Source organism: Homo sapiens, chromosome 1 (assembly GCF_000001405.40).
Source record: "Homo sapiens chromosome 1, GRCh38.p14 Primary Assembly".
NCBI classification, from domain to species: Eukaryota; Metazoa; Chordata; class Mammalia; order Primates; family Hominidae; genus Homo; species Homo sapiens.
In genome coordinates this window covers 182,246,521-182,266,196 of record NC_000001.11, presented here as the reverse complement: position 1 = coordinate 182,266,196, position 19,676 = coordinate 182,246,521, and the positions used below count along the sequence as shown (strand labels likewise).

Genomic DNA, 19,676 nt, shown 5'->3' with positions numbered 1-19,676 from the left:
AGGTCTCAGCTGAAAGTCCCATCTTCAAAGAAGTTTCTGACTTTCCAGTCTAAGAAGCCTCCCTTCCCTTATCTCCACCCTTGTCTTGCTTCACCTTCTTTAATTTTTTTTCATAACAGTTAATCACCACATAACATTCTTTTATTCACTTATTTAATCATTTGCTCATTATATATTTCTCCTATTATGTGAGGCCCATAAGCACAAAGACTGTACCTTCCAGAACACTGTCTGGCAAATAGTGGGATGCTCTGTAAATACTTGTTGAATAACGAACACTGAAACTAAAACTAGGGGAAACTTTTTCCAAAGGGTCCTCATTAAAAGGGACACTGAGCAATACAGTGGATATATTCTTAGCAGCACCCTCAAAGCAGACACAGTAAAGAGTCCCCAGAGATTCTTGTTTTGTTTTGTTTTGTTTTAAAGACAGGGTCTCTCTCTTTTGCGCAGGCTGGACTGCAGTGAGGTGATCGTAGCTCACTGTAGCCTAGAACTCTTGGGCTTAGGCAATCCTCCCACCTTGGCCTGCTGAGCCACTGGGAATACAGGCATGCACCACCACACCCAGCTTTTTTTTTTTGAGACAGAGTCTTGCCCTGTCACCCAAGCTGCAGCGCAGTGGCACGATCTCGGCTCACTGCAACCTGTGCCTCCCAGGCTCAAGCCATTCTCCTGCCTCGGCCTCCTGAGTAGGTGAGATTACAGGCACACCACCACACCTGGCTAATTTTTATATTTTTAGTAGAGACAGGTTTTGCCATGTTGGCCAGGCTAGTCTCCAACTCCTGACGTCAAGTGATCTGCCTGCCTTGGGCTCCCAAAGTGTTGGGATTACAGGTGTGAGCCACTGCACCCGGCCTAATTTAATTTTTTTTTTTTTTTTTTGTAGAGACAGGGTCTCGCTTTGTTGCCCAGGCTGGTCTTGAACTCCTGACTTGAAGTGATCCTCCCACCTTAGCCTCCCAAAGTTCCGGGATTACAGGCATGAGCCACGGCACCCAGCCCCCAGTGATGCTTAATTAGTGTCAAGTCAGCTCAGAGCAGGAGGCAGCCAAGACATACCAGAGTAGTTCTGTCTACACTTTCTAGTTCTACTTTCTCTCTGACTGTAATCTCTCTTGTTGCAACCAAAGTCTATTATGCCATTTCAATAGATTCAGATAATGGTAGGCTGTTATCATCTGCCTAAAAAAAAAAATCATTTTATAGATGTTTACAATGGCATCAATTTGCATTATTTGGAAGGTCCACTGAATTAATATAAAGGTGACTTTTTGGAATATATTTGAAAGAAGTATTTATTGTTATTGAGTAGACACTCAATAATTGATATAATTGCTAATACAAGCAGATATCTTCTGGGCCTATTCAAATTATTTAAACAAAACATTACGAATTAACTCATAACCCTATTTGTAAATTTATGTTTACTAAAGTCACTGACTATTCTGTACACTAGTAGTCATTAATATCTTTTTCATCAACTTTAAGATAGCACCAATTGTAAGCAACTCACATATTGATAAGAAAGAAAAAATCTAGCAAGTAACATTATAAGACTCAGTTTTAGGATGTATCTCAGTATCTATGAAAAAAATAAGAGCTAACATTTATTAAACACCTATTATCACTTAGGCACTGTGAGCTAAGCATTTTACATAAATGTTCTCTTTTATTCCCTGCAAAATACAAGGGATAGGTACCTTTATGATTTCCAGTTTACAGATGATGAAGCTGAGGATAGTTATTCCATTTCACAAAGCTGATATATGACAGAGAACTAGAGTGAGCTCAGAACTGTCTGACACTGGAGCCTGAGTTCCAAGCTACTATGTTTAGAATACCGTCTGTCTTAGTCTGTTTTCTGTTGCTATAGCAGAATAACTGAGACTGGATAATTTATAAAGAAAATATGTGTATTTCTTAGAGTTCTAGAGGCTGTGAAGTCCAGGGTATAGGGGCTGCATCTGGTGAGGGCCTTGTTGCTGCTGGGCACTCTCTGTGGGGTCCTGAGGTGGCTCAGGGCATTGCATGGTGAGGGGGCTCACGAGAGATGTCCAAACTGGCTTTTACAACAGATCCACTCCTGTGATAACTAACCCACCCCCTCCACAACCCATTAATCCATTAACCCATGAGTGGAATTAATCAATTTGTGAGGTTAGAGCACTCATAAACCAATCACCTCCCCAAAATCCCATCTCTCAACATTGCAGACATGAACTTGGAAGGTACACATTCAAACCGTGTCACCTTCTACAATCTTATTTACTCTATTGCTTTTCTTAGTCATATCCTCTTGGATCAGGGATGTGGAACCTTCTGTTTGTCTACCAAAAGAGTTAGTCAGTCTAATAGTGTATGCAAAATAAAAACAACCTAATTCAGTTTTCCCCCCTAAGAATCAAATTTATAAAGCCCTACACATTTTTCAAAATAAGAACTTAAAAATTTATTTAGTATGGCAGAGGCATTCTACAATGGCAGCTACTCTGAGTGATGGCATTGATTATTAGAGCAATATATTGAGAGAAATGAACCCAATGAAACTTTGGACCAACTTGCTCATTGTTCACAGACAGTGCTAAGAAAATTTTTAGCTCTAGGTTTTTCAAATGATGCAAATTTCTTAAAGGTGATGTTCACTCTAATGAGAAGAAACTGTATTTAAAGGCAGCCAAGTGACTTTCCTGTTTGTATTTCCTTGATTTATTTGTCCATTGCTCATAAATAGCTGGTGTAGGGATTCTCACATACTCCACTAACTTGGGTCTTACAGACATTACAATTAAACAACTATTCCATGGATTTAGAGGTTTGCAATTGGCTCCTTGACCAGGGGTGCACATCAGAATTACCTGGGAGCTTTCTCAAAATACGTGTGCCTGGGCCCTTCCCCCAGCCTACTTACATGGAGTTCCTAAGAATAGGCTGAAGTGTGTGCATTTTAAATCTCTCTTCTGGATACTTTTGATGCTAGCTCCAAGTTAAGTGGTCTGGTATTAATTTTCATCAGAGCCAAATTTCTAAAGAAAGTGGTGCCTAGAGATGCCACAGAGCTATCAGTCAAAAGACCTGGCTCTACTTTTCCAGTTACTCATGACAATTTTCTCGATCTATTTCTCTACCTGCAAACTTTAGAAATTATCAATAAACCAATCAACAAACATTCAACACATTCTCACAGTATGCACAGAACTAAACTATAGCCTGGAAACTGTTGCATACATGCATTCTCTCTTCTTCTTAATGACCTTGCTCTCTGCTTAAAAGGAAGAGTCCTTAACTCTTAGTCTGGCAAATTTAGCCTGGATCCACTTTTCCTGGATCATTCCAGGTACAAACCTCACAAACACATTCACATATACAATTTCTAATAGTATCTCCTCACTCCCCAGCATAGTAACACAAAATCCATATCATGATCTACATGACCTGCTTCTCCTCCTATGACCTCCCTGATTTAATCTCCTGCTGATTTCCTCCTCAGTCACTTGGCTTAAGCCACATTTTGCTATTTCTAAATCATGCCAGGCTTGCTCCTGGTTCAGGACCTTTGTGCTTGCTCTTCTGTCCGTCATGCTTGTTCCTAGATAACCACATGGCTCACTTCATCACTTCCTCCTGCACTTTACTTAAAGTGCTCCCCTCAGTGGGGCCTTACCTGGTCATGCTATCTACAATGTCAAACTCCATCCAGGCATTTCACATACTTCTTGCCTGTTTTACCTTTTCTCCCTATCCCTTATCACTATCAGCCTTCAAAGCCCATCTCAAATGTGAAAAGAGAGAAGATGCCTAAGAAAATGCAATAAAAACAAAAAATAGACAAAACCCCAACCAAAAACCCCACAGGAGTTTGGTATTTCATTGTATAATGAACAATGAGAGAGGATAAAATTCCAGCCAAAGGCAGAGTAAATCCAACAAAGATGAGGAAGAAGGCGACAGAAAGGATATTCATTTATATGAATAAGCAGATTTTCTACTTTCTTTTTCCTTTTTCTTTTTCTTTCTTTTTTCTTAGGGGGGACAGAGTCTCACTCTGTCACCCAGGCTGGAGTGCAGTGGTGCGATCTCAGCTCACTGCAACCTCTGCCTCCCGGGTTTAAGTGATTCTTGTGCCTCAGCCTCCCAAGTAGCTAAGATTACAGGTGTGTGCCACCATACCTGGCTAATTTTTGTATTTTTAATAAAGACAGGGTTTCACCATGTTGGCCAGGCTGGTCTTGAACTCGTGGCCTCAAGTGTTTCACCCACCTCAGCCTCCCAAAGTGTTGGGACTACAGGCATGAGCCACTGCACCTGGCCAGTTTATATGAATAAGCAGGTTTTCTACTTTCAGTACTACTTTATTTTTTTGCTCAAATTGTTCTAGTTTTGGACATTGGGAGCACTTTCAGTTTCCTCCTGTGTCTCTTTGACATAGCCCCATCAGTGTGTGTTTGTTTTGTTTATTTGGTTTTTTTTGTTTGTTTTTGTTTTTGAGCACTTTCTTACTTTCTGGCACTACAAGATGTTTTAAGCTTGTCTTGTATATATCCTGCCCTGGTCAAAATCTAGAATTTAAAGTATGAGAACACATCTCAAGGTAAAAGGACAAAATCAGATTCTATGAAGACTGTTAACAGTAGCAAAGAGAGAACACAGAAAATGGCCAACAAGAGGGCAGACATAAGAGTTCAGTAGTGATACTAGAGTTTAAGTAACAAAATAAGCAGTCAATTTCCATATAAGAATGCAAATGTGGCCGGGCGCAGTGGCTCACGCTTGTAATCCCAGCACTTTGGGAGGCTGAGGCGGGCAGATCACCTGAGGTTGGGAGTTCGAGACCAGCCTGACCAACATGGAGAAACCCTGTCTCTACCAAAAATACAAAATTAGCTGGGCGTGGTGGCATGCGCCTGTAATCCCAGCTACTTGGGAGGCTGAGGCCGGAGAATCACTTGAACCCGGGAGGCAGAGGTTGCCATGAGCTGAGATCGCACCATTGCACTCCAGCCTGAGCAACAAGAGCAAAACTCTATTTCAAAAAAAAAAAAAAAGAATGTAAATGCATTGTTATGGATTTCCCAGAGACTTGGTGGACAATGTTTGGTGACTGCAATGTTGCTGTGGGAGGGCATGCTTTTGCAGGTTTGCTGGGCCCAGCAGACATGGCAAGTCCTGGCTATCCATGAACTCAAGCACAGAAGCCCAGTGGGCACATTTAGGGGAAAGCTCAATACAAGGAAAACCAGTAGTAACAACATGGCAGGACTGAGGATGATGCTACCTTAATATAGCATAAAGAATACAGATGTGGCCAGGTGTGGTGGCTCGCGCCTGTCATCCCAGCACTTTGGGAGGCTGAGCAGTTGGATTAGATAACTTTAAAAGTTATCTGGAACTGCTGTGGGAGTCTCACAACTGTTGTAGTCTCCATAGGCCCTTAGCTCATGGGTCATTTCAGATGTGGCAAAGTCACTTCAGGCTGACCACAGCTCTCTGGTTCCCTCTATCCTTGGGCTGCATGAGCATTTGAGGCTTTGAGGAGAAGATACACAGGCCAGGGACCTTGTCAGGTAACGTCGACCACCCTGCTCCTTGTGCAAGCTGCCATCTTTTTTAAAAAAAATCTGTCATCAGTGAGTACAGAAAAATAAAATGTCAGCACTTCATATGGGTATATGACTGGGGATGGGGCAGGGGAGATTCACTTATGGATTAATAAAGATAGTGAACAAAGAAAGGGGACAGAGATTATTCTATGGTAATAAAGTAATTTATATCTGTTTTGCTATAAAATAACTATTTTTCTCTAAATCTAATGTTAATGTCAGCCAAAATCACCTCTATTCATTTATTCAATCATCAAGGGATATTTATAATCTCTTGAGTGTCAGTTTGGTACCAAGCACTTTTCTGGGCACTGGGATACATTATTGAACATGACAAGCTTCTCAGCCCTTCAGGACAGTTTGGAACATCTGGCTGTGGTGACCACAGTCTGTCAATGTTCCCTACTGTGCTGAACCTGGTGATTTCCTCTTGAGTATAAGACAATACCACTCAATGAACTGGACAGAGACTTCATGAAAGAGGACCCAGGTGAATGCAGGGAAAGAACTGGGATGTTGGTTTTGACTGGTGCAAACTTCTGCCATTTTAGTGTACAACTGAAAGGGCTGCACATTCCTTTGGCTAATTCCACAATGACACGACCTCTTCCTCTTCCAACCCGCTGTGAATCCTCTTTGCAAATTTTACACGGGCTTACATGTTAATTTTTCAAACCATCACCCCTTTCTTCTATTCCCTTTCCTCCAAAACAAATCCACAAAAACAAAGGAAAAAAAGCTCTAAAACAAGAAAGTGGAGGGTATATTTCCTTTTCATTATTTTGCCTTTTCATGCCCTTCACATCTGGCCTCTGCCACAACTGGTAGCAGAAATGCTAACCTATCATGAGAAAGGCTTTTCTGGGGGAGTGTGCCCCTGGCAGCAGCGACAGCAGTGGCAGGAAGTACAGGAAACCTCATGAGATGGCCTGTTCTTGAACACTTGCCAGCCTGCTTCTGCAGACTCATGAGGTTAAGAGAAACATGCAAGCTATCAGGGAGGTTATTGGGACAGAGCCCCAGTTGTCGATTGTTTGAGGTTCACTCATAACTGGCAAAATGACCACAGGGCACAACCACAAGAGTTCCAGTCATAGCCTGTGGCCCTGGTGCTACGTGTTGAGATGCTTCTGATGTTAAGCCCCCAGGAAGGCTTCTGGTTTGAAGCACCCAGGAAGCCCAGCAGTTAATGTTGGCAACAAAAGGCAGTTAAGTGAGGCTGGCTCTGCTAGTGCTGTGACACGTGGGCTCATGGTAAGACACTGTAACTGAAGCCTTGCAAGGTCATGTGAGAGGGGAGGGAGGCATGATAACCCCTCCCTGTTTTTATGAGGCAAGAAGGTGGCTGATTCTGAGGGAAAAGGGAAGAAGTCTGGGTCATAGACCAGAGTTAACCTCCGTGGAAGACTCAGGATGGGTCCCTGTGATTACTGTTTTGCATTTCTGGACAATTTAACTAACTGGTCACACGTGAATATAAGCTCTGAGATAAAGACACTGGGCCCAAGTCACCAAACTTCCAAAAGTTTCATCACTTATTATTTTTATTTTTATTATATTTTTGAGATGGAGTCTCACTCTGTTGCCCAGGCTGAAGTACAGTGGTCACGATCTTGGCTCACTGCAACCTCCACCTCCTGGGTTCAAGCAATTCTGCTGCCTCAGCCTCCTGAATAGCTGGGATTACAGGCTAATTTTTGTATTTTTAGGAGAGATGGGGTTTCACTATGTTGGCCAGGCTGGCCTTGAACTCCTGACCTCGGGTGATCCACCTGCATTGGCCCAAAGTGCTGGGATTACCGGTGTAGTCCCAAAGTGTTGGGATTACAGGCATGAGCCACCATGTCCAACATTCATCACTTATTTTTTTTATATTTATTAATTTATTTATTTTGAGATGGTGTCTAGCTCTGTCTCCCAGGCTGGAGTGCAGTGGCACGATCTCGGCTCACTGCAACTTCCGCCTCCCAGGTTCAAGAGATTCCCTGCCTAAGCCTCCCAAGTAGCTGGGATTACAGGCGGCCGCCACCATGCCCAGCTAATTTTTATATTTTTAGTAGAGACAGAGTTTCACTGTGTTGGCCAGGCTGGTCTCGAACTCCTGACCTCATGATCAGCCTGCCTCAGCCTCCCAAAGTGCTGGGATTACAAGCGTGAGCCACTGTGCCCGGCCTCATCACTTATTATTAAGAAATGGAAAGACAGAAAGAGAGGGAAGGAAGAAACGAAAGAAGAAGGGGAAGAAGGAAGGAGAGGAGGGAGGGAGGGAGAGAAGGAAGGAAGGAAGGAAGGAAGGAAGGAAGGAAGGAAGGAAGGAAGGAAAAGAAAGAAATAGAGAAAGAAAAGAAAAGAAAGAGAAAGAAATAAAGAGAAAGAAAGAAAAGAGGAAGGAAGAAAGAAAAAGGGAAGGGAAGGAAGGAAGAAAAAGGGAAGGGGTGGGAAGGGAAGGGGAAGGAAGGAAAAAGAAAGAAAGAAAGAAAATTATTCTGACAAATATTGTTTTCTGAACAGCAAGCTCCATTCTGAAAGTGCTGCATTAAAGCCAGCCCGGAAGGACTGGACCCAGACCTTAGCTCCACCCCATGTAAGTCCACCCAGGCACATGCCCAGCTACTGCACCCTTTGGTTTTCTGCCATATCTGGTCATCTGATTGCATACCTTGAGAGCTGGACCCCTGGGATGGTTTGGCTCTGCCTTTTGGACACAAAGGCACTAGGCCAGGCACAGCATTTAATGGGCCTAGGAGATGCCTTCTTCCAGCAATGCTGGTAGGTAGCCTAATTTGGAGGAAGAATGGGAGCCCAGCCATATCCCAAAGACTAGAGATAGGCCCTGGGCCAGTCACCGCTCAGGCCTTGGATTTTGAAAACCCACCCTGCCCCTCCTTTCTCTTGGAGGGGAACTCCCCCCAAGGCTGGAAACTTAAAGAGTAGAGCTGGGGATTGTGAGGCTGGATGAATGACAGCCCTGGAACTGGGCCTGTGAGTCAGGAGACTCAGAGTGGGGCCCAACATTGTTGTGCTCAGTTGAGAATTATCATCTGACTCCTATACTGGGGATGCTGATAAGGCCCTTAACCTGCTGGTGGGAGTGGTGAGAGGCTTTCTGGACTGCTGATAATTTGGACAGAGGTATTAAATAATTGAATTATAAAATGCAGTTGATGATATAGATGCTAAAACACTTAATTTGTCTTTTTAAAGCAAGCTCCAACATCATTATTAAGTGGATTCTCTTCTGTCTGCTCCCCACCTTACACAGCTGGCTTGGAGATTTGACTCATCTTACACACTCTTTCTCAATCTGCCGTCAAGCTCTAATAGGGAGCATTTCTTTAACAGATACCAATGCAGCTAATACAATTAAAGTGTATTAGAAAAAAAAAAAACAACGAAAAACAAAAAACTCTTTTCTAAAGCCTGGGTGTGACCCATTTATTTAAGATAAGAGGGGGGTGCTCAACTTCTGTTGGCTTGGGGTGGAAGATGCAGGGTTTATATCAGTATGTCTCCTTGGGCAACTACTAAAAATCAGCTGTCTCCACCACCATCACCACCAAAGACGTAAAAACACACGAGAAACCCTGCCACATAGATTGCTTACAGGCTGGCCAGGCAGATAGATTCTTTTGTTTTGTTTTGTTTTGTTTTTGAGATGGAGTCTCGTTCTGTTGCCCAGGCTGTAGTGCAGTGGTGCGATCTCAGCTCACTGCAACCTCCGCCACCTGGGTTCAAGCAATTCTCCTGCTTCAGCCTCCTGAGTAGCTGGGATTACAGGCGTGTGCTACCATGCCCAGCAATTTTTGTATTTTTAGTAGAGACGGGGTTTCACCATGTTGGCCAGGCTGGTCTCAAACTCCTGACCTCGTGATCTGCCTGCCTTGGCCTCCCAAAGTGCTGGGATTACAGGTGTGAGCCATCACGCCCGGCCTAGATTCTAAGCAGTATCTTCAACTAGAGCTATTGTTAAACATTGCTTTTTTGTTTTGCTTGAGATAAAATCCTTTTATAAGTAATACCATAGTCATCAAAAGGCTAGAATAAAAAAAAATTAAGTCTCTGCTCACCGCGAATGTATTTCCAAGCAACATCCAAAGTAACAATCTTTTCTGCAACAATAATGTTGTGATGGTATAATACTTTCACCAGCCTTATCTACTCTGATCCTTATGATGACTCCCGTGAGGTAAATTAACCCAGTTTTACCGTTCTCACTTTCCAGCGTGGATCAAAACCATGCAATATGCTGATGAAACATGTGCCTTTAAAAAAAATAACTCCAGACATGGTACTGGGCTAGAAACTATGATAGAAGCAGAATGCCTGCCCATGTGACACATCAGAACTGCTCTTTTTTTTTTTTTTCTGAGATGGGGGTCTCACTCTGTCACCCAGGCTGAAGTGCAGTGGCACAGTCACCACTCACTGCAGCCTTGACCTCCTGGGCTAAAGCGATCCTCCCACCTCAGCCTAGCTGGGACTATAGGCACACACAACCATCCCTGGCTAATTTATTATTTTTTTTTTTTAGAGACAGAGTCTCACTATGTTGCCCAGGCTGGTCTCTAGCTCCTGGGCTCAATGGATCCTCCCGCCTTGGCCTCCCACAGTGTGGGATTACAGGTGTGAGTTACTGCACCTGGTCAGAACTACTCTTCTTGAACTGGGTCCTGTCATATCCGTCAGTCATAAGGTCAGATGGGCCCAGCAAAATTCATTATACAATAGAAGTGGTATACACTTGGAACTGAGCAAAGCAGGAAGAGGGCACAGCAGGCTACACAGCCGAGAGCTCAGACTCCTGGCACCCACCACTGTTACACTGGCACCCATCCCTCTTCTAACACCCATGGCTATATGGGCAATTCTTAACCAACAGCTAAAGGAGGATCAAAAAGCCCAAGCTTGCTTTATGGATGGGTTGGCTTGGTACTCGTGCGCAAGTTGAATGTTGATGACAGCCGCACTTAGTGTCACTCAGGCCTGACCTTGAAAAAGACAGGGGTAAGAGAAAATCTTCCCAGTGAACAGAGCTTTGAACAATGCACATGCCTATCCACTTTGTCTGGAAAGAGAAGTGGTTCAAGGTTAGAATATATATAGAATTGTGTACTGGAGTATAACTCAGTCAGAGGTTTGGGATTTTATTTTCCAAAAAATGACCTTTGCCCCCTGGGGCAGCTTCCCTTAGCCCCCGGACTGGCCTGTCTCCTCTCTGGGGCCCTTGCTGTACTCAGAGTGCCCCTCATAGGGTTAGGTGGCCCACTCTCTCTTTCTAGGGAGCTGATGGGCCACGATGGCCTAGAGTCCATAGCTTATATAGAGAACATGTCACAGATACTTTCTGAAACTCTATCTCCAGCTCTGGGTTAGGGCCCCTCCTGGCACAGACTTCTGAGAAGCCTGAACAAGGCCCTGTCATTTTCTATACCAGAATTAGTTAAGAATAATACAGATCTAATGCAAACATATTTAGGGGCATGTGGCAAGTAGGTTTAAATTTGCATTTATTTATTCATTTTTAATTGTAATTATTATCTTTTTAGATGGAGACTCACTCTGTTGCCCAGGCTGGAGTGCAGTGGTGTGATCTCAGCTCACCGCAGCCTCCTGCTCCCAGTTCAAGGGATTCTTGTGCCTCAGCCTCCCAAGTAACTGGGATTACAGGCGCCTGCCACCACACCTAGCTAATTTTTGTATTTTTAGTAGAGATGGGGGTTTCACCATGTTGGTGAGTCTGGTCTTGAACTCCTGTCCTCAAGTGATTCATCCACCTTGGCCTCCCAAAGTGCTGGGATTACAGGCGTGAGCCACTGTGCCTGGACTAACTTTGCATTTATAACAGTCTGGTTGAGCTTTGCAGGGAGAAGGAGAAGGAGATTTCTCAATTAGCCACTTGATTGGTGATATAACTTAAATATTTCAGATTGCAATTTAGCTCACAGTCAGATTAAGGGAGAATGAAAAACTATGCGGAGATCTTTCAAGAAATTTATTTAATCGACAAGCGCCATTTCTTTATCATGGAAAGACTGGCCTAGGAAAGCCCTGACCCTTTCCTCTTCTGGTTCTGCAGCTGCCTCAACATCACCAAGCTACCGGGAAAGCATAATATAAAAAAGGGCTCATACTGGAGGATGATGCCCTTGTTGCCATTAATTCTTATAAAATTAAACTGGCAAACAAACAGGCAAGAATCATGATCATGATGACAGTAGTAATATTTAAAGTAATACTATAAGGTAAAATTGTTATCTGTGGTTTTCAGCCTTTACTTTATATAAGAAACACTTGGGGAGATTTAAAAGGCACAAACACCTGGCCTCTATTCCCTGCGATTCAGATTAAATTGCTGTTGAGAGAGGAGCTAGGCATCTATGTTTTGTTTTTTGATTGATAAATAATAGTGTTAGCAGCAGATCCATACAGATCTGCAGCAACCTCAATTCTTTTTCTTTTCTTTTTTTTTTTGAGATGGAGTCTCACTCTGTTGCCCAGGCTGGAGGGCAGTGGCACTGTCTCAGCTCACTGCAACCTCCGCCTCCCAGGTTCAAGCAATTCCCTGACTCAGCCTCCTGAGTAGCTGGGATTACAGGCGCCCGCCACCACGCCCGGCTAATTTTTGTATTTTTAGTAGAGACAGGGTTTCACCATCTTGGTCAGGCTAGTCTTGAACTCCTGACCTTGTGATCCACCTGCCTCCGCTTCCCAAAGTGCTGGGATTACAGGTGTGAGCCACTGCGCCTGGCCAGCAACCTCAGTTCTTGCCTCCTCAGAAAAAAGAATTCAACCCAGGGGCATAAGGCAGAAGGAGAGACCCAGGCAAGTTATACAGAGGGAGTGAAAGTTTATCAAAAAGTTTTAGAGCAGGAATGAAGAAAATACAGTACACTTGGAAGAGGGCCAATTGGGTGACTTGAGAGATCAAGTGCGCAGTTTGACCTTCAACTTGGTGTTATGTATGTTGGCAGGCTTTCCGGGTTGTGTTACATCTCTTCTGATTCTTCCCTTGGGGTGGGCTGTCCGCATGTGCAGTGGCCTGCTAGCACTTGGGAGGGGCCACATGCACAGTGTGTTTACTGGCGTTGTGCATGTGCTCACTCGAGGCTCTCTTCCCTTACCAGTTGGGTGTTCTAGAAGGTCATATACCAGTTAAACTCTGCCATTTTGCCCCTGAGTGTGCATGCTTGAGCCCACTCGCCCACCTCCTGAGATCTTATCAGGAAGCTGCTGCTCACCAGTTTCAGGTGTTTTCTGTCTATTGGGAGACACTAGCTGCAACCAATTATTATTGATTTAGCCACCACCTGACCATCAACTGATGGTCACCTGACATTCCTGGTGCAGGGGGAAGTGAGGGGGCACCTTGTCCTGCCCTTCTCATGTCTGCCTAACTACCTACTGCTATAACAATAGTTGAATCGTTGTACATGTAATTTTGGGGACCATGTGATATTCTGATACCTGTACACAATGTATAATGAGCAAATCAGGGTATTTGGGATGTCTATCACTCAAATAGTTATCTTTTCTTTGGGTTGGGACCATTATAATTCTTCTATTTTGAAATATGTAATAAATTATAGTTAACTATAATCTCTCTACTGTACTATCAAGTACCAGAAGTTATTCCTCATAATTGTATATTTGTACCCCTTAACCATCTTCTCTTTATTTCCCCTCCCTACTTTCCTTTCCAGCCTCCGGTAACCATGATTCTACTCTCTACCTCTATCAGATCCACTTTTTTAGCCCTTACATATGAATGAAAATATGCAGTATTTGTCTTTCTGTGCCTGGCTTATTTTGCATAACATAATGACTTCCAGTTCCATCTGTGTTGCTGCAAGTGACAGGATTTCATTCTTTTTTATGGCTGAATAATATTTCCTTGTGCATATATGCCATATTTTCTTTATCCATTTATCCATTGATGGACACAGGTTGATTCCATATCTTGGCTCTTGTGAATAGTGCTGCAATAAATATGGGAGTGCACATATGACTTTGATATACTGATTTCCATTCTTTTGGATATATACCCAGCAGTGGGATTCCTGAATCATATGGTAATTCTATTTTTAGTTTTTTGAGAAATCTCCATACTGTTTTCTATATGGCTATATTACCACACATTCCCACCAACAGCGTACAAGGGTTCCTCTTTCTCCACATCCTTACCAGCATTTGCCACTGTTTCTTTTATTTATTTTTTAACTTTTCTTTATTTATTAATATTAATTATTTTTTTGACGGCTCTCACTCTGTAGCCCAGGATGGAGTGCAGTGGCACGAACATGGCTCACTGCGTCCTTGACCTCCCAGGCTCAAACCATTCTCCTGCCTCAGCCACCTGAGTAGCTGGGAATACAGGCACACACACCATGTCCTCCTAAGTTTTTGTAGAAACAGTGTTTTGTCATATTGCCCAGGGTGGTCTTGAACTCCTGGACTCAAGTGATCCACCCACCTCGGCCTCCCAAAGTGTTGGGATTACAGGTGTGAGCCACCATACCTGGAATATTTTATTCTTTTAGAGACAGGGTCTACCTCTGTTGCAAGGCTGGAGTGCATTAATGCAATCATAGCTGACTGCAGCCGCAAACTCCTGGCCTCAAGTGATCCTCCTGCCTTGACCTCCCAAAGCACTGGGATTACAGATGTGAGATACCATGCCAGGCCTATTTTTTGTCTTTTTGATAATAGCCATTCTAACTGGAATGAAATTATATCTCATTGTGGTTTTGATTTGCATTTCCCTAATGATTGATGTTGGGCATTATACCTGTTGGCCATTTGTATATCTTCTTTTGAGAAATGTCTATTCAGGTCTTTTGCCCATTTTCAAATTGGATTATTTGTCTTTTGCTATTGAGTTGTTTGAGTTCCTTCTATATTCTGGTTACAAATCCCTTGTCGGGTGGATAGTTTACAAATATTTTTCTCCCATTCTGTAGGTTGTCTTTTTGCTTTGTTGATTGTTTCCATTGTTGTGCAGAAGCTTTTTAGCTTGATGTAATCTCATTTGGCCATTTTTGCTTTTATTGCCTGTGCTTCTGAGGCCTTATGCAGATAAATCTTTGCTCAAACCGATGTCCTGTACCATCTCCCCAGTGTTTTTCTTTTAGTTGTTTTATAGTTTAAGGTCTTACACTTAAGTCTTTAATCCATTTTGAGTTGATTTTTGTATATGGTAAAAATGAGGATCTAGTTTCATTATTCTGCATATGGATATCCAGTTTTCCCAAAACCATTTATTAATGAGGCCATTCTTTCTCCAATGTTCTTGGGGTTTTTGTCAAAAATGAGTTGGCTGTAAGTGCATGGATTTATTTCTGGGTTCTCTATTCTGTTCCATTGGTCTATGTGTCTGTTTTTATGCCAGGACCATGCTGTTCTGGTTACTAGAAGGTTTCTGTCTTTTTAAAAAGCCCACAGAAAATTTAATGTGCAGTCTAGGTGGGAAACCACTGAACCAGACCTTTACCTATTACTAGGTGATTCCTGTCCCCATAGAAGAAAATACACTTGTTGTGACTGGGGATGAGGTGGGAGGCAAAGATACAAAAACCACCAGAAACAGGCTCTACAGAAACCAGATAAATGAAGGCATATTTTCAATGATACCCCGTGAGTCTCTATATTCAACAAAGATCCTGTGAACCTTTCAACACACACTATTGTATAAAATCCACATTTCAAGCATTAATGTCAAATTGTTTATTAATAGACTGTAAAAGTAAGGATATTGTTTTAAAAATTTCTTTGATTTGAGTTTCTTAAATGGGCAAGAAAATTTCCTATTAGAGCTTTGTTCTGTTTCTTACATCAATGAGTTATTTAACTGAAATTCTTTTTTATCTTTAAAATGGAGATAATGATTATTTTAATAACTTGAAAGTAGTTGTGAGGCCAAATTAGACAAAAGCACTTTTCAAAGAGCTAAACATTTATATATAGTACTATTATTATTTACTATTATTTCATTACATTTTCATTCCACATATGACTTGACTCAGTGGGCCTTAGTCTTGTTTTTCAAAAGGAGAATTTGGGAAATTACTCTGGTTATTATAATCTATCTTCTTAATGTCCTTATTTTTATTTTGGTTAGCATCCTTAGTAGCAAAAAACTAGCAGAAGTGCTAAATAGGTGACCCCCACCAAGTGACTCACAAAGGCAAAGTATTATAAAGGGTTCTTCTCTCCTAGGTTATTTAATAGTACTTTTTCTGACCCTATCTCTACTCTCATACTATGAAAATACTCATTTGAAGGCCCAAGGAAAAGCCAGTGATTTTAGTACACATGATCACAACAACAGAGCTGTCCACAAAGGGCTGTTGTCAGCACAGAGTGAGAAGGTGAATACGAAAACACTTGGTAAACTATGAGGTGCTGGGCATGGTGGCAATGGTGGTGGTGGTGATGATGGAGATGATGATGTTAATGACAATGACACACACCAGTTTGCTAATCCTGCATAAATATGTAGGAACATGAACTACTGGTCCCCACTAGACTAATAGGTGTACCAAGGAGATAGGACAGCCTCAGTAAAAAGGATAAATCCTGTGGAGTGAAGCCAAGGACTGACCAGCTATGACGATGATAGTTCTAGGTCTCCACCCCATCCCTCTCCAACCTAGGAAATGCCAAACAACTTCTATAGCAGTCTTCATTGGGTTTTCTTCTGCATGTTACTATTTTTTTTTTTTTTTTTGAGCTGGAGTCTTGCTCTGTCACCAGGCTGGAGTGCAGTGGTGCGATCTTGGCTCATTGCAACCTCCGCCTCCCGGGTTCTAGCAATTCTCCTGCCTCAGGCTCCATAGTAGCTGAGATTACAGGCATGTGCCACCACGCCTGGCTAATTTTTTGTATTTTTAGTAGAGACAGGGTTTCACCATGTTGGCCAGGATGGTCTCGATCTCCTGACCGAGTGATCCTCCCGCCTCGGCTTCCCAAAGTTTTGGGATTACAGGCGTGAGCCACCGGGCCTGGCCTGCATGTTTCTTCTTAGCTAGTTCACTCGAAGCTTCATTATACATGCCTCTTGCTTAACTAAGCTCCTCCTCTCACACCATCTGGGCAGGTTCCACCCTGGAGACCTTAGGATGGGACGCAAACATTGTCAAAGGGCGGAGTGCAGGAAGGCAGGGGCGGCGGCGAAGGTCTGTTTACTGATCCTCTGGAAAGGTTCATGAATTACTTGTTCTTACCACCGACTGACTGCTCATTCTCTCACAGCTAAGCGCTCATAAAAGAGCCACACTTTTGAGAGGAAATCTGTGAGCTAAGACTAAAAGCCAGGATGCTTGTTCTGAGTCAGAAACTTTCAATGTGACTGCAAGAAAGTTAGTCTTAGGTTTCTCGCTTGGTAAATGGGAATGACAGTACCTACCTTTCAGAAGTTATAACCTAGAAGTTCATAGGTTGAAATTTTGTTTACAGTTGTATTTTAAGATTTAAAAAAAAAATGCTTTAAGCAGGACATATATTCAGACAGTCCTCATCATTCACTCCCTGTTGTTTTCCCAAAGTATTATCTAACTCAAAGCTTTAGTGAGGGGATACCTTGAGGTAATAAATGGAATGCCCAGGGGTTCATTCATTCCTTTAGCAAACATTTCACTGCTTACTAAATCCCAGAACCTAACCCAGCAAGGGCCCGGGGTTGCGGGGAGGAATGAGATGCCGTGGCCACCCTGGGGGAGTTTCCAGTTTTGTGGGGAAGGCAGACACAGAAAAGCACTGGAAATAGCAAACTAACGCAGGAACAGAAAACCAAACACCTCATGTTCTCACTAATAATTAGGAGCTAAATGATGAGAATTCATGAACGCAAAGAGGGGAACAATAGACACTGGGGTCTACTAGAGGGTGGAGGGTGGGAGGAGGGAGAGGAGCGGAAAAGATAACTATCGGGTACAGGGTTTAATACTGGGTGGTGAAATAACCTGTACAACAAACCCCCATGCCACGAGTTTAGTTATATAACAAACCTTCACATGTACCCCTGAACCTAAAATAAAACTTAAGAAGAAAAGTACATGCAGTTACCCCGAGTGCTCAGAGAAGGCAGCTGCAATTCCATTTTGGTGTGAAGATTTAAATGACTTCATAGGGGAACAGGAGTGGGAAAAATGGAAAAAATTGGGTTACAAACTAAACCAATGTGAAAGATTTATTAACCTTCCAAAGAAGTTCACTTGTTTTTTTTTTTTTTTTTTTGCAAATATAAGAAGTATCATTATCTCTTTTTTAAATATGGGGAAAGATGGTACTAAAATGATGTGAACTATATATAGGGTCAAGACAAAGAACATCTTGGCAGCCTAACTCCTAGCGAATGCTCTTTAAACAGTGCTCCTCAATTCTTGCACCTGCCTAAAAGTTGCCTTAACTTCTTCACCTCTTCTCTCTCTCACATTTGTATATCACCCTTCTCCGGGAATTTTTTTTTTTTTTTTTTTTTTTTTGAGACAGTCTTGCTCTGTCACTCAGGCTGGAGTGCAGTGGCATGATCATGACTCACTGCAGCCTCAAACTCCTGAGCTCAAGTGATCCTCCCACCTCAGCCTCTTGGGTAGCTGGAACTACAGGTGTGTGTCACTATGTTCAGCTAATTTGTTTTTGTTGTTTTGTAGAGATGGGTCTCACTATGTTGCCCAGGCTGGTCTCAAGTTGTCTCAACTCCTGGCTCAAGTGATCCTCCCACCTCGGCCTCCCAAAGTTTTGGGATTATAGGTATGAGCTGCTATGCCCAGCTTCCTCTCTTTTTTTTCCCCATGCAGATGTGGCCCAAGTTCTGCCTTCTTTCTCCCAACTCCATCACCTTCCTTTGACTCCCTCTGGGTATTCCTTTCAGGCTAAGCAGGTGGCTGGCTGTGAAATCAGGGAAAATAGTCACTCTCTCTAGCATCACAGCTTGTGGGGGCCTATGGCCATCCCACGCTGGTCTTATCTTTGAGGATTCTTCTGAGAAGTCCCATAGCTTCAGTAGCAGGTTTGAATGACTGAGGGGACGATTCTTTTGTTTCTTTAGGTCTCAGTGGCTCCTCTCTCTAAAGAACTTACATTGGATTGAGAAAGCAGAATCATCTCTATCTTGAGTGACCATTCCCGACTCTAGAGGGGACTTGATGTCATTCCTTCTTCTTCCTTTTTTTTTCATCAGAGTCTGGCTCTGTTGCCCAGGCTGGAGTGCAATGGCGCTATCTCGGCTCACTACAACCTATGCCTCCCGGGTTCAAGCAATTCTTGTGCCTCAGCCTCCAGAGTAGCTGGGATTACAGGTGTGTGCCACCATGCCCAGCTAATTTTTGTATTTTTAGTAGAGACAGGGTTTCACCGTGTTGGCCAGGCTAGTCTCAAACTCCTGACCTCAAGTGATTCTCCCTCCTCAGCCTCCCAAACTGTTGGGATTACAGGTGTGAGCCACCGTGCCCGGCCTCATTCCTGCTTCTCGAGGGAGACTTTCAATATACTCTGCACAAGCTTCCCATCCGATTTGCATATCACTCCTGAAAATTGGCTCCTAAAAGAAGCCAGCCAGTCATGTTGCGTGGTGTTTTTTCTGCATGGTCTAGCATGCCAAGTAGCAAGCTATACCTGCAGGCCAAATCTGGCCCACTGCCTGTTATGATGCAACCCATGAGCTTTGAATGGTTTTTACCTTTTGAAATGGTTGAAAATAATCAAAACAACTATAGTATTTAATGATGTGAAAATTATATAAATTCAAATTTCAGTGTTCCTAAAGTTTTGAATGTCATCAATAAAAGTTTGTGGAAATTTCTTTTCTCCTTTGCTATATAAGTATTTAAAGAATCTCTTTGAGTTTGTTTCTTTTCTTTTTTTTTTTTTTTTTTTTGAGACGGAGTTTCCACTCTTGTTGCCCAGGCTAGAGTGCAATGGCACGATCTCGGCTCACCGCAACCTCCGCCTCCTGGGTTCAAGCGATTCTCCTGCCTCAGCCTTCCAAGTAGCTGGGATTATAGGCATGTGCCACTATGCATGTATTTTTAGTAGAGATGGGGTTTCTCCATGTTGGTTAGGCTGTTCTCGAACTCC

General features: G+C 42.9%; 1 long non-coding RNA gene across 1 annotated transcript in view, besides 3 other annotated features; it reads left to right on the top strand.

Annotated features, from left to right (window-relative positions):
- Window positions 1-19,676, top strand: part of LINC01344 (long intergenic non-protein coding RNA 1344) — a 110,117-nt gene that overhangs the window by 47,865 nt on the left and 42,576 nt on the right. The window lies entirely within an intron of this gene.
- Window positions 3,508-3,716: a silencer, noted in NCBI's record as "fragment chr1:182231616-182231824 (GRCh37/hg19 assembly coordinates)". NCBI's record gives its function as "represses an EF-1alpha promoter that drives an FKBP-Casp9 reporter gene in an ReSE screen in K562 erythroleukemia cells {active_cell/tissue: K562}" and the evidence as "EXISTENCE:reporter gene assay evidence [ECO:0000049][PMID:32094911]".
- Window positions 16,484-16,985: an enhancer, noted in NCBI's record as "H3K27ac hESC enhancer chr1:182218347-182218848 (GRCh37/hg19 assembly coordinates)". NCBI's record gives its function as "activates a minimal SCP1, AML or CMV promoter by ChIP-STARR-seq in naive H9 embryonic stem cells {active_cell/tissue: H9 hESC(naive)}" and the evidence as "EXISTENCE:reporter gene assay evidence [ECO:0000049][PMID:30033119]".
- Window positions 16,730-16,929: a silencer, noted in NCBI's record as "silent region_1616". NCBI's record gives its function as "represses an Ori minimal core promoter by ATAC-STARR-seq in GM12878 lymphoblastoid cells {active_cell/tissue: GM12878}" and the evidence as "EXISTENCE:reporter gene assay evidence [ECO:0000049][PMID:35858748]".